General features: G+C 42.2%; 1 annotated feature.

Annotated features, from left to right (window-relative positions):
- Positions 634 to 834: a silencer, noted in NCBI's record as "peak875 fragment used in MPRA reporter construct". NCBI's record gives its function as "represses an SCP1 promoter by STARR-seq MPRAs in K562 erythroleukemia cells {active_cell/tissue: K562}" and the evidence as "EXISTENCE:reporter gene assay evidence [ECO:0000049][PMID:32103011]".

Below are 14,348 nucleotides of genomic sequence, written 5' to 3' on the forward strand. Positions count from 1 at the left end.
AAATTCTGGGTGTGGTGGCTCACACCTGTAGTACCTACTACTCAGGAGTCTGAGGCAGAAGGATGGCTTGAAACTGGGAGGCAGAGGTTGTAGGAAGCCAAGATCGAGCCACTGCACTCCAGCCCGGGCAACAGAGTGAGACTCCATTCACCCAACCCCCCAGAAAAATGAGAGGTGGCATCGGGTATGGGTTATGAGCACAGTCCATGAAGTGAGGCTGTCTGGATTCTAATCTTGGCTGTGCCACTTACTAGCTGTGTGATCTTGGCCAAGTGACTCAATCTCTCTGTATCTCAGTTTCCTAGCCTGAAAAGTGAGAAGGATAATAATAGTGTCTACTTCACCCTGTTGTAGGAGTAAATGAATAAGGACACATTAGGTTGGCATCTGGCACATAATTAGCAGCATTTGAAGCAGTTATTGTATTATTGTTACTTGTTGTAAATATCTTCCTATCTGCTGTTTGTTTTCAACTTTGTGCTGCCTTTAGTATTAATCAAGTTTAAGTTTAAGCATATATATATATTTGAAACAGGGTCTGTCTCTGTTGCCCAGGCTACAGTGCAGTGGTATGTTCATAGCTCACCATAGCCTCCAACTTCTGGACTCAAGCAATCCTCCTGCCTCAGCCTCCTGAGTAGCTGGGATAACAGGTGTGCAGCACTATAACAGGAAATTTTTTTTTTTTTTTTTTTAAAGATGGGTTCTTGTTATGTTGTCCAGGCTTATCTTGAGCTCCTGACCACAAACAACCCTCCTGCCTCAGCCTCCTAAAGTACTTGGATTACAGGCCTGACACACTGCTCCTGGCTGCAAGTTTGAAATTTTTGAATAGTAAAATCTATCAATCTTTCTCTTCAAAGCTTCCGAATGTCATGTCTTTTCCAAAGGAGGCCTTCTCTGTCTTAAGTTTATTTATGAACAAATTCTTTTCATTTTACTACCTATGTTGCATTTCCCCACTGTTTAATCCATTTAGAATCCATTTTTGTGTGTAGTGTGGAATAGAACTCTACCCACTCTATGAAAGAGGCACCCAATGTATAGTGTCTACCTACAGGCTGGCTGGTCCCCCTCTGGAATGTTGCCATGCCAGAGGCTTGCTTGGTCTCTGTTGGCTGGGTGGGCACTCTGCAGTGGTGGTAGCCTGGTCAGTCTTGGGGAGGAAAAGTCAATGTTGCTGAGCTGGTGAATGGCTTCCACCCCACACCCGGTTGACCATTGCACATACTCTGTTCTGTGCACCAGGCATCTGACTACGTTGGCCTGTGTTGGCCTCTGTCATCTGCTTGAGTCTGACCAATGACAGGTATTGGTGGGAGACCAGAAGACAGAATGAGAGAAAGGTCAGAGTGTTGATTCCACTTGCTCTTTCTCTGACTGGCCACAGATTTGTCCTCTGTAAATAATCCTTCTTTTAACTCATGTCAGTCCAATCTTTTGAATGTTCTCTAAGTGTCCTGCAGGAATGAAATGAATGAAATGTGAAACGACAAGGTTTCATATGGAAGGAAAGCCGGCAAGCCTGACACATACCATAGAATTTGATATCAATTTAGCCAAAAATCTGTGAATAAGGACATACTGAATGAAATCTATCATTCATGGCCACTCTAATTTTTTCACCCATTTGGGGAGGAAGTTAATTGTTTCAGCAATTGCTAGTTGTTTTGACACTCTGGAGTGTTTAGCTGAGATTTAAAGTTTGTGGCCATGTGTTAGAACATGACATGATCTCCCAGGATGAATATTTGTGTTATTTCTGTTGGGGGAAGAAGAAAGAATCTTGGAGAAGGAGGGAGTGGATGGCGCTACTGTCAACACATAATTAAAAGAAGTTTTTCAATGTCCTGTGTTTCAGGAACCTATGATTCTAGTGCGATAACAAGAATAAAATGTGGCTTAAACTACAGAAGCTTTGGAAGAATTTTTAGTGATTGTATACAAAACCCTTTGACCCGGGTCCTAAGATTTGCCCCATGCTTTAAATTCTTTTAAAAATAGCCTCGTTACAGCCGTGTGAAGGATGGCCATATTTTTATCTACCTCCTATAAATCAAGACACCATGCTGTAGACCTGGCCAAGATAAAACAGTAGAAAGGTTGAATTAGCAACTTAGTGCACCTTCTATTATGGTATATTAATTATAGGTGGATAATAGTTAAGGAGTGGAAATCCGTCCTACACAATTGTGGTTATCTCCTTATTTCTCATTTAACTGACTTATAAAAACTGTCCATTTCTCCCTCTAATTTGTTTTGGGCAGTTTGGTACTTCCTACTGATTCAACTGCCATGAACTTAGCAGGAAGTGATTAAAATGTAAATACCGGCCAGGTGCAGTGGTTCATGTCTGTAATCCTAGCACTTTGGGAGGCCGAGGCAGGTGGATCACTTGAGGTCAGGAGTTCGAGACCAGCTGGCCAACTGGTGAAACCCCGTCTCTACTAAAAATACAAAAATTAGCTGGGCGTGGTGATGCATGCCTGTAATCCCAGCTACTCGGGAGGCTGAGGCAGGAAAATCACTTGAACCCAGGAGGCAGAGGTTGCAATGAATCGAGATTGTGCCACTGAACTCCAGCCTGGGTGACAGAGCAAGACTCCATCTCAAAAAAACACAAAAACAAAAAACAAAATGTAAATACCCTTGATCGGCTGCTCTGGTGGGAGGCGGGGAGCGTGGGACAGGGGCGGTGTTGTCGTTTAGGGGTTTATGTGGAGAGTCATGAGACACCTGATTCTGCGCCATGGAAATGTCTTCCTGCTGGACTCTAGGCAGAAGGTGCCATTTCCCATCCATCAGGTCTTAGTGAAGGCCGTCTCCTCCTTCAGTGTCCTGATCACCTGCAGGGAATGTACAGAGAGTTCAGTTAGAAGAACAAAGAGCAATAGAATTTCCAAGACACAGCCAATATTTGTCAAGCCAATTAGGAGAAAAATAAAGCCTCCATAGAAATAAATAATAATGAAGTATTTAAATATTAGTTCCTGGTTAGCTTATTTGTAGTTTGTTCATCCACGAAATTGTAAACTCTGTAAGAGCAGGGAACATCTTCTTTACCAGTCTATGTTTAGTTCCTAAGCAGTGCTTGGCCTGTGGTAGTTACTCAATGGCTATTTATTAAATGAATGAGTGAATGAATTCACAAGAAAGGATTTAGCACAAAAGACTCTGAAAAAATGAAGGAATCCTGAGCACACGCTGTAGGGTTAGTTAGATCACCCTGAGATTACAGAAGGTAATTAATTCAGTTCACACCTTGTGGTAGGCAAAATAATAGCCTGCTAAAGATATCTGTGTAAAGGGGGAATTAAAGTTTCAGATGGAACTAAGGTTGCTAATTAGCTGATCTTACATTAAGGAGTTTATCCTGGATTTTCCTGATAAGCCCAATGTAATCATAAAAGTCCTTTAAATTAACCAAGGGAGGCAGAAGAGGGAGTCAGAGTCAGAGAGAAATTTGAAGGTTTGCTGGCTTTGAAAATGAAGGAAGAGGCTACAAGCCAAGGAATCCGGGCAGCCCCTGGATGGTGGAAAGGCAAGGAAACAGCTGTCCTCTGGAGCTTCCAGAAGGAACCCAGTTCTGCGAACATCTTGACTGTAGCCCAGTGAAACCCATTGAGGACTTCTGACCTGTAGAGCCAGGAGATAATAAATCTGTGTTGTCTAAAGTCACGACCTTTGTGGTGATTTGTTATAGCAGTAATAGTAATCCCTCTATGTAGTAGATATTTGTTAGTTTTCACCTGTCTCCTGTGAACAGTGCCCTCATTATTCTTTGGGGAACTCCCTTTTTCAGCCCTGCAGGTACTTTGTGTAAAGTCAGTTTCCTTCTTCATATTGGATGTGAGCATGTGATTCAGACGTGGCCCTTGGGAATGTTGTATTTGCCTGGTCAAAGTTGTTAGTTAAGGGTTGGTCAGATTTGTGTCCTTTAAAAGTAAAAGTGTTTTTCTCTGGGATCCTGGGGAGCAAGGCTTGTAGGCTTGAACTCTGGAGATGTGGGAACCGTCCCACCATCATGGAGAGCCTAAAACTGAAGGCAACATGGAGGAGCTCAGAGCCAAGAGAGGGCGACAGATTGGGTCTTCGGACCAAGCCGCTCTTGAATTTTACTATTACATGAGTCAATAAATTCCTTTTTCTGCATGAGCCAGTTACTTTTGCTTTTCCAATTATATCATCAAGTTTTAGTGAGGAGGCATAGGAAAGTGATAGAAATAACTCTATGTCTTTTATAGTTCATGTTTACGTGTACGTGTGATATACTTTGGATATTTACCCCACCCAAATCTCGTGTCAAATTGTAATCCCCCATGTTGGAGGTGGGGCCTGATGGGAGGTGATTGGATCACGGGGTGGATTTCTCATGAATGATTGAGCATTATCCTCTTGGTACTGTCCTCACAATAGTGAGTGACTTCTCACAAGATCTGGCTGTTTAAAACTGTGGCCCCTAGCCCTCTTTCTCTCTTGCTCCTCCTTTCACCATGTGATGCGCCTGCTCCTCCTTCACCTTCCACCATGATTGGAAGCTTCTTGAGGTCTCCCAGAAGCAGATGCCACTATGCTTCCTGCACAGCCTGCAGAACCGTTGAGGCGATGAAACCTCTCTTCTTTATAAATTACCCAGTCTCAGGTATTTCCTTAAAGCAATGTGATAATGGACTAATACAATGTGTGTTTGTAGATATATATGTATATAATACACTGTATATATTCTCATCATAGCCATTCTCAGTTACTTTTTCATCTTTGTAAAAACCTCTGTTAAATACTTCCAACCCTAACAGCATCAGTTATAGCTCTATAGAGTCAGGTTGTCTGCTTGACATTACATGACTATTAACATCAAGACTGTATTAGAAAGACAGTACCCTGTGATGGAAGTATGCTGCAACACATCTTAATTCTGTCTTTGAATGTTCCACATTATAATCTTGCTTAGCATAATGAAACCTTCATCATTTGAAAACATTAGCTATGAAAAGTTTTAAGTATTACCAGGAGGTCATTTTTAAAATGCAATAAATTTTCTAATGATTTGTCTTCACTAAATAATTTCGCTTGATTTTCTCAATATTTAACTAATCTATTTCTTTGAAACTCACCAACTTGCATTTTGACACACCAGTGGCTTTTCTCAGTTGAGGCTTATCTCATCACTGAGTTATTCAGCATCAAAGAGTAACATTTTCTCTCTGATTGTGTGTGTGGGAGCCTCTTGTAGGAGACTTCATTCTAGGTTTAAGGCTGTCATTCCCTTACAAAGGCCAGACTCACCAATTCAAGCGCCCACCATGGCCAGGCAGGTAACGAGTGAAGTGGGTTGGATGGGGACTGTGGTTGATCAGAAAGCCCACGCCTGTCTAGGTCCCCTGCCACTCAGGACCAGTGCTTGTTCTAGTAGAATGTAAACTCCATTGCTGATCTTTTAGGTTTCCAGCAGAGGCCAGAAATCCACACGTTTATCTACAGCTCTGAAGCTTTACCTATAGGATTCAAATTAAAATAAAAAAAAATACTATGTGGGTGAAATAAATCCTAAACAAACAACAAAAGCCATGCTCATCGGCTTCACTGTGGCTCCAGGCCACCAGTTTGTCCTTCCAGAATACATCGACTCATCCGTGCAGCCACAGATGTTGCGAGTCTCGCTTTGATCGTTTGTCTAATTGTGTTTCTTCCACTCTGGCTTCATTTTCAGGTGTGTTGGGACATTATCAATCCTGACATGCTCAAAACACTAGTGAGGAAAGGCATGCATTTATGGTGCAAGAATATTCTCGAGAAAAAAAAACTGCAAGAAAATGGTGAGAAAAGGACCAAAGTTGCGCACACATACTGGATGAATCATTAGGGAGCTGGCATGATTCTGAAGGAGAAAGAGAATCCTACAATGTGTGACAAGTTCATGCCCTTGCAATCTACAAAATTAGCAAGAAAAGATGAAAAGTGATTGAGAAAATTAAAATTAAAGAGTGATTGACTAGAATATTTAGTCTGAAAAATAGATGCCTAGTAACCTAACATTAATTCGGAAGGCTAGCAATTTGTTGAAGAACTTAAAAATTATTAATACCTTGAAAGTCCTGCCGATATAATTTTTATGGCAACCCATGGTCATGTCCATTGGATCAAGGTCTATTTTGGTGATGAGGTAGCAAAATTATTGGAGCTATTAAGGAGTTTTCTGTGATCTTTGTGGATGTCACCAATGAAGAGATTTATTTGCCTCAGCAGATTTTCAATACTGATGAAGCTTTTTTAAAATTGTGGTAAAAAATATATAACATTTACCATTTTAATCCATGTTTAACTTCACAGTTCAATGGCATTAAGTACACCGGCACTGCTGGGCAACTATCATCACCATCCACCTCCAGAAATTTTTCATCATCCTCAACTGAAATTCTGCACGTACTGAACACTAACTTCCTATTCTCCCTCTCCCAGCACCTGGTAACTACCACTTTCTTTTTCTGTCTCTATGAATTTGACCACTCTAGGTATTTCATATAAGTGGAATCATACACTATTTGACTTATTGAAGATGTTTGTGGCTGGGCACGGTGGCTCATGCCTGTAATCCCAGCACTTTGGGAGGCTGAGATGGGCAGATCATTTGAGGTCAGGAGTTCGAGACCAGCCTGGCCAACATGGTGAAACACCGTCTGTAGTAAAAATAGAAAAGTTAGCCGGGTGTGGTGGTGGATGTCTGTAGTCCCAGCTACTCAAGAGGCTGAGACAGGAGGATTGCTTGAGCCTGAGAGGCAGAGGTTGCAGTGAGCAGAGATCTCGCCACTGCACTCCAGCCTGGGCTACAGAGCGAGACTCTGTTTCAAAAAAAAGTAGAAGATGTTCTTTTTTACAAAAATATTTATTCAGTTTACAGATATTTGTTGAACTCCTTAGTATGTGCAAAATAATGATTTACTTGCTGAGGAAACTGTGGTGAAAACAATAGGCATGGTCCTTGCTGTTGGGGTGAGGGTCGAAACAAACATAAAGTGAATAAGATAATTTCATAGTATACTTTGAATATGTAAAATCTAAAATGCTGGCCAGGTGCAGTGGCTTATGCCTATAATCCCAGCCGAGGCCAAGGCAGGTGGATCACCTGAGGTCAGGAGTTCAAGACCAGCCTGGCCAATGTGGTGAAATCCATCTCTACTGAAAATACAAAAATTAGACAGGCATGGTGGTGGGTGCCTGTAATCCCAGCTACTTGGGAGGCTGAGTCAGGAGAATCACTTGAACCCGTAAGGTAGAGGTTGCAGTGAGCCGAGATTATGCCACTGCACTCCAGCCTGGGCAACAGAGCAAGACTGTCAAAAAAAAAAATGTCCAAGTGCAGATGTTGAGGGGACAGTGGGGTGACAGATGTACCTACCGTGGCATGACTGGAGGTAGAGAATTGGAGTCATTGTCATCGAGATGGTATCTAAGTCCACGGACCTGCGGTGGTGATGCAGACAGAGTGTAAACATAGTCAATGAGAGAGCCTAGGATGGAGCATGACAGAGCTTCACATTTGGAAACCGACCAGTGGAGAAGGAGACCAACAAAGAGACCCAGGCAGAATGGTGAGCAGAAGGTGAATGTGCTGATGTAAAAGCCAAGAGATGAGACTATTTCCAGAACGACCGAATGGCCGGCTGAGCTGAATCCTGTGTGGAACTGGGGAAGAGGCAAAACAGATAGCCATTGGCTTCTTGGAGTCTGACTTATTACATTTAGAAATTAAAAAAAAAATTTTAATAGAGATGGGGGTCTTGCTATGTTGCCCAGGCTGGTCTCGAACTCATGGGCTCAAGTCATCCTCCCACCTCAGCCTCCCTAAGTGCTGGGATTACAGGCAATCCTAACTTATTTCTAAATAAAAGACTGTCCCTAAACAATCTTTGGTCAAGCCTAAAAAAGAGTTTAAAACATTTTAGCATTTTTTTTTTTCTCTGAAGCAACTGGGGGCAGTGATTTGCATAGCAGGTCATGTTTTAGCATAGACAAAATACTATTTTATACTCTGATGGGAATTTAATACTATTTTATACTCTGATGGGAGTATTAAATCAAAATGATTTTATGTGCCAGAAGTATTATTTATCATTAATCAAATGGTGCAGGTAGACAGATGAGAGAGAAAGAATGACAAATTCTGATGATTTTAATAAAGGCACGGAGGCTGGGGGATGATAGTCGCTGGCAACACTCAAGGCTGTTAGTCACCGTCTCTTTATGACATCAGCCTGGATTATCAGAGCAGACACCACAGGGGAATGATATATGAAGACTTACATTTTCAAACCCTTTAAAAGATATTCTCCATGAAATCTCATCAAAAGCTCTGTGTGTACCCGGTAACTGCTATACAAGATTTAGGGTTTCCTTAAGATCTCCCAATTTTAGTTAACAGGATCTTCCTGGTCAATAAATTTAGGGCAAAAGTGGTTTAACAGCCTAAATAAACTGTCGAATTTCCTCTCTGAACACACAGTGTTTTCCTTCTGTCTCAATAAAACCCACAACCGTTAGAAAACATGCCCATTTCCAAGCGAAAGCAAAATGGTCACACGAGGGAAATCACCGCATGACATCTTCTCAGCTGCTTTTGCGGCCACACAACTTAACTCTCTCCAGATGTAACCCTTCATTCCTCCCACCTCCTCATAATTTTTGTCTTGAGTGAAACTATTAAAGGAGGTTTTTTTTTTTTTTTCTTATGTGAACTCAAAAGTGGGAGAGACTGAATTGCAAGTTCAGTGATAAGTACTTGATAGAGTGGGCTTTATCTCCTGACCCTGGGATGAACATATAAGGGTAATGGTATTTTGACGAAAAAAATACCTAACAGAGATGGGTCAGAAAGACCAGATTTTAAAAATCATGATAACTCATGTGGAGTCTACAGGCTGCCAGGGGATCAGCTGATCTATACTGGACTTGGGAGGAGGTGGCTCTGCTCCTTGTACCTCTAACTTTTATTCTCCTCCTAGGACAAGCAGCATAGCCCTGGCGTATCCTTCTCATGGTGACAGTAGAGGTGAAGGAGACCAGGTTTCATTGTGCATGTGCTTTTTCCAACATATTTGCTTTCCATTTGCTAATATCCCACTGGCCAGAGCATGCCATGTGGCTGAACTCAGAAGCAAGGGTCAGGGAAAGCTAGTTGGTCTTTTGATGGGAGGAACAGCAAAGCCATGTGGCCAAGGGCTTAGATAAAGGGGAAAGTGAAGGATTGGGGCTGCTAATACAACCTACCATTTAAGGGTATATCCAGTTCTCCTAAATGAGATCGTTGAAAGGCATTGCAACACACGAGGAAAAAAGTTCTAACCTTCATGCTACGTATGACTTCCCCATTGTCCACGGGTTGAAGCTCTTTGCAGGGATTTCTCTTCTTCATGGCTCCCCTGTCCTTGACTCTGTCCCTGTATAAACCTGCCTTTTTTCAGTCTCCATGCTGTAACTTTCATCTGCATTGAGGGAAACTCCCTCCTCTCTCACCAGACCTCTCCTTAGAGTCAGTCCATTCCTCTCCAAAGCTCTACATTTCCTCACACCTGAGCATTTAGGCTGGTAGAATGTTCCTTAGGATGCTTGATGGTACGTTTTGACTTCCCATGTGACATCTTTGAGGTTTTTCCATGAGCATGCATCACAAACTTTTTCTTTCTCCACATACATATTATCTCTCTCACTCTCTCTCTCTCTCTCTCTCTCACACACACACACACACACACACACCCTTCACACATATTCCTCTAAAGTCCTAAGGATAAATATTAATTCTTAAGACAGTCAGGTCTTCATAAAGAGAAAGAAGAATATTGTCTGTATTTCCCTCTCTTTCTGTCCAACCATAATGAAATGCTGTCAGTCCCAAGATGGCTTCACATCCCACAACAGGCAAAACCACACCATCACCTTTCTTTCTCTGACCCAGTATTCAAGCCAGAAACGATGATTATCTTTTCCCTCTCTCCACCCTACAGGGGAGTTAGAAGAAATCCATTCTTCTAATTCTACACACAGCATCTTGATTCAAAACAAATGTATAACGTTTCAACATCACATAACCTGAATTACATATGAACAGAGATTGCTGTTGATGCAAATTAACAGACCTCCTAGGTTAAGGACTAAATTTGAATTCTATTTGTCTGGGTTAATCCTTAATAGTTTCTAGTTTAAAGAAGACTAAAAAAACTATTAGATTAATCCCCTAAGTAAGGAGATCTTTAGACAGCAATTGTTTGGGGCCATTGCATCCCAGTTAGTTATATGAGGTTGTAGTTTCCTAAAATGAAACAGAGAAAGGCAAGATTTTTTGATTTGACAAATGAAGTTTTTTCTGCCATTTAGGCTTCTAAGAAGTAGCTTTTTGGTGTAAGGAAAATGATTTTAAATACACTGTTCTAAAATTCTGAAATCCCACGGCCTTGGGAGTCAGTTCCAACCTTAGCAGATGACCTAAAGCACCAGTTTCTCTATGGAGATATGTTGAAAATTAAATAGCATAGGTATTAGCCTGTTCTCACGCTGCTAATAAAGACATATCCGAGATTGGGTAATTTATAAAGGAAAGAGGTTTAATTGACTCACAGACATGGCTGGGGAGGCCTCACAATCATGGCAGAAGGTGAATGAGGAGCACAGTCACGTATTACACATGGTGGCAGGCAAAGAGAGCATGTGCTAGAGAACTCCCCTTTACAAAACCTTCAGATCTCATGAAACTTACTTGCTATCATGAGAACAACAGGGGAAAGACCTGCCTCCCACTGGGTCCCCCCCACGACGCATGGAAATTATGGGAGCTACAATGCAAGATCAGATTTGGGTGGGGACACAGCCAAACCATATCAGCATATATCAAAGTTTTTAGGTGTCGGAGAATGTTGAGAATGTTTAATCATGTGCATGAATCTAAATAGAATTTTGAAAATAGAGGGGGACAAAATGTCTGTGGTTCTCATTCCCAACTCTTTGTAAACTAAAGGAAGGATTCAGCTTTGTACTTTTGTATCTAGGAGCCCTTCGCAGATCTTAGCTCCTTTTATTCTCTGATTTTGGGAGAATTTAAAAGGGATCATCGAGGTCGTGGCAAACCATTTCAACCTCATTATTTTAAACGGTTCTTCCCCTGCTTTCAACATGAGTCGAGTGGGAATTCTCCATATTTGTTACCTGTGGCAGCTTGTAGGATCCTGGTCTCTGGAATTAGGCAGACCTAGATTTGAATGTCAGTTCTGCCATTTGCTATGGGGCAAACCATCAGAGGAAGCTACGTATTCTGTCTAGCCTGCGATTCATCAGCAAAACAGGGATCAATTCCATATTGGCAAAAATTCTTTCCTTGGACAAACTTTTGTCAGGCTCCTCTGAGCCCTCTCCTCGACCAGAGCCAAACCTGGGCTTTCATCTTTGTCCTTGTAGTATCCCATTTTAGCAAGAATCCTAAGTTCATTTGGAAAGAGCTCCCATCGTTTACATCTGACCAAATTCCTCCCCCGTCACCATGCCCCAGGTGATGTCTGATTACCTTTGACTGCCTCAGCCTTAGCAGGAATCACCCCTGACCCTGAGGTTTCCTCTTTGTGATTTTCCATCCACCAACCCCCACCCTACTCTTTGTCTATAATCCCCACTTTTCCTTGCTGTATTCAAAGTTGAGCCCAATCTTTTTACCTATTACAAAACCCCATTGCCATGGCCCCTACACCTACGGTGATGGTCCTGAATAAAATCTGCCTTACCATCTTAATAAGTGTCAGAATAAATTTTTCTTGGGCAGTATCTGTCTTGTATGGTTGTGTTAAGGATTAAATGGAAGATGCACATAAACTACTTAGTGGAGGGCTTCATACAGAGTGGATGCCTAATGCATTTTCATTCTTCCGCTTCTTTTTGTTTTTTTTTGTTTTTTTTTTTTTTTGAGACGGAGTCTTGCTCTGTCACCCAGGCTGGAGTGCAGTGGCGCAATCTCGACTCACTGCAAGCTCGCCTCCCGGGTTCAGGCCATTCTCCTGTCTCAGCCTCCCGAGTAGCTGAGACTACAGGCGCCCGCCACCACGCCCGGCTAATATTTTGTATTTTTAGTAGAGATGGGGTTTCACCTTGTTAGCCAGGATGGTTTTGATTTCCTGACCTTGTGATCCACTCGCCTCAGCCTCCCAAAGTGCTGGGATTACAGGTGTGAGCCACCGTGCCTGGCCGCATTTTCATTCTTATTGCTATTAATGTTGCTTTTATGATGCCATCCTCAACTCCTTCCTACTTTACTTCCTCTTCCTCAGAACAGTCCGTTAGAGACCTGGGTCAGTGTTTCCCCCAGACATTCTCCTCTTCAGGTTAATCAACCCCAGGTGACTCAGCTATTCCCTGCATGGTGTGGTTGAGGCATCTCCTATTTTTGTTGTTTTTCTCTCAATGATGAAATGCAGCCAGTATCACTGATGCCTGGGGCTCACGGGCCCAGAGAAACTCCTTGACCTGAGTGTGGGGTGAGAGGCCACTGGCCAAAGGGAAATATTCAGTGCCCTCCACCTGGAGCTGGAGCCACTCCTTACATATAAATCAATGGAAATTCCCCAATCAATACTGGGAAAGAAGGCAGTGGGAAGAGCAGATAGGTGGGGTGGAAGCAAGAGAAAAGGGTAGCTTAGGGGACCTGCAAGCCAATTGCCCAACCTGTGAGACCATGGCGATGTCTGTGGGCAGGCACAGTTCACTCTCACCAGTGGCACCAAGGGCCCTGCCTATTTATGCTTGGTAAATTCACTTCTACCACAAGTGTGTGGCCCAGTGCCACATACAAATATATGCCCAGAGAATGTTCATTATCTTTATTTTCTTTATTCTGTCACCCACTGTGGCAACTGTTTTTTCCACCACTGGGTCACTGGAGATTTAAACAATGTCTTCTCTGTGTTAATAGTGGGCTAGGGACCAAGCCCTACAGCCCAAATACAGGGACTTCCTCTCTGCTTCCCACTAACTCAGTGACCAGCACCCTTTGGGTTATAACCAGCGAGGAATCTACTCACATATATCATAAAACTCATATTTATGCCTATTGCCCGTGAGAATAAAATGATTATTTCAAGGGACAAGAGAAATGGAGAAAGAGAATATGGCTGCTGGTAGTAAGAAATTGCAAAGCAAGACAAAGCAGATGAGTAAATTATATGAAAAATGCAACCGCCTTAATCTTGTAATATGTGCATACAGGTAGTAAGTGAAGGGAAAACATAAACATGTATAAATCTATTATGCACTCAGCAAACACAAGCATATTACCTGGGTGAGTAGAAATCAATAGACTGATGTAAAGATATCCTCTTTAAAATCTTCATCCTATCCTTAATTCACATACTTAGGAATTTTATTTTTATTGTTAGAAACAGGGTCTTGCTCTGTTGCCCAGGCTGGAGTGCGGTGGTGCAATCATAGCTCACTGCAGCCTTGAACTCCTGGGCTCAGGTGATCCTCCCAGCTCAGTCTCCCAAAGTTCTGGGATTATAGGCAGGAATCGCCATGTCCGACCTAGAATATACACTTTTAGGGGGATGTTATGAGTTGAATTGTGTCCCCTCCAAAAGATATGTTGAAGTCCTACCCTCTGGTATCTCAGAATGGGACCTCATTTGGAAAGAGGGTCTTTACAGAAGTAATCAAGTTGAAATGAGAAAATTTAGGGCTGACCATAATTTAATATGATTTATATGTCCTTATAAAACGGGGAAACATGGATCCAGGTCCTCACAGAGGGAAGATGACGTGAGGACACATGGGAACACGGTGTGATGAGGGAGTATCCATGTACTGCGTTTACAAGCCAAGGAACACCTGAGACTCCCAGAAGCTGGGAGAGATGCCTGGAAACAGATGCTTCCCTAGTGCCTTCAGAGAGAACACAGCTCCCCCAGTACCTTGATTTTGGGCTTCTGGTGTCCAGAACTGTGAGACAATACATTTCTGTTGTTTCAAGCCATCCAGTTTGTGGAACTTGGAGCCCTAGAAAACTAATACGGAAGAAAACTATGGAGTTTTGAAAAATTAAAAACCCTTATGGAAATAAAAATTATAGTTATACATGTACCTTTCAATCAATGAAGTGAATGAAAGTGGAAATACAAAACTTTAAATCCAGGAAAGTCCACTGTTACTGCTTAAAAATCAATCCCACCCAAAGATTGGCTAGCAGAACAATTTACTAATGACTTAGTTGTTTCTACAATGCAATCCACAATCAAAGCAAGCCACAGCACAGAAATATGAGGAGCCATTTCTACTGTGTCATATCATGGCACCAATAGAAGTTAAATCCGGTCGGGCACAGT

Source organism: Homo sapiens, chromosome 10, assembly GCF_000001405.40.
Source record: "Homo sapiens chromosome 10, GRCh38.p14 Primary Assembly".
NCBI lineage: Eukaryota > Metazoa > Chordata > Mammalia > Primates > Hominidae > Homo > Homo sapiens.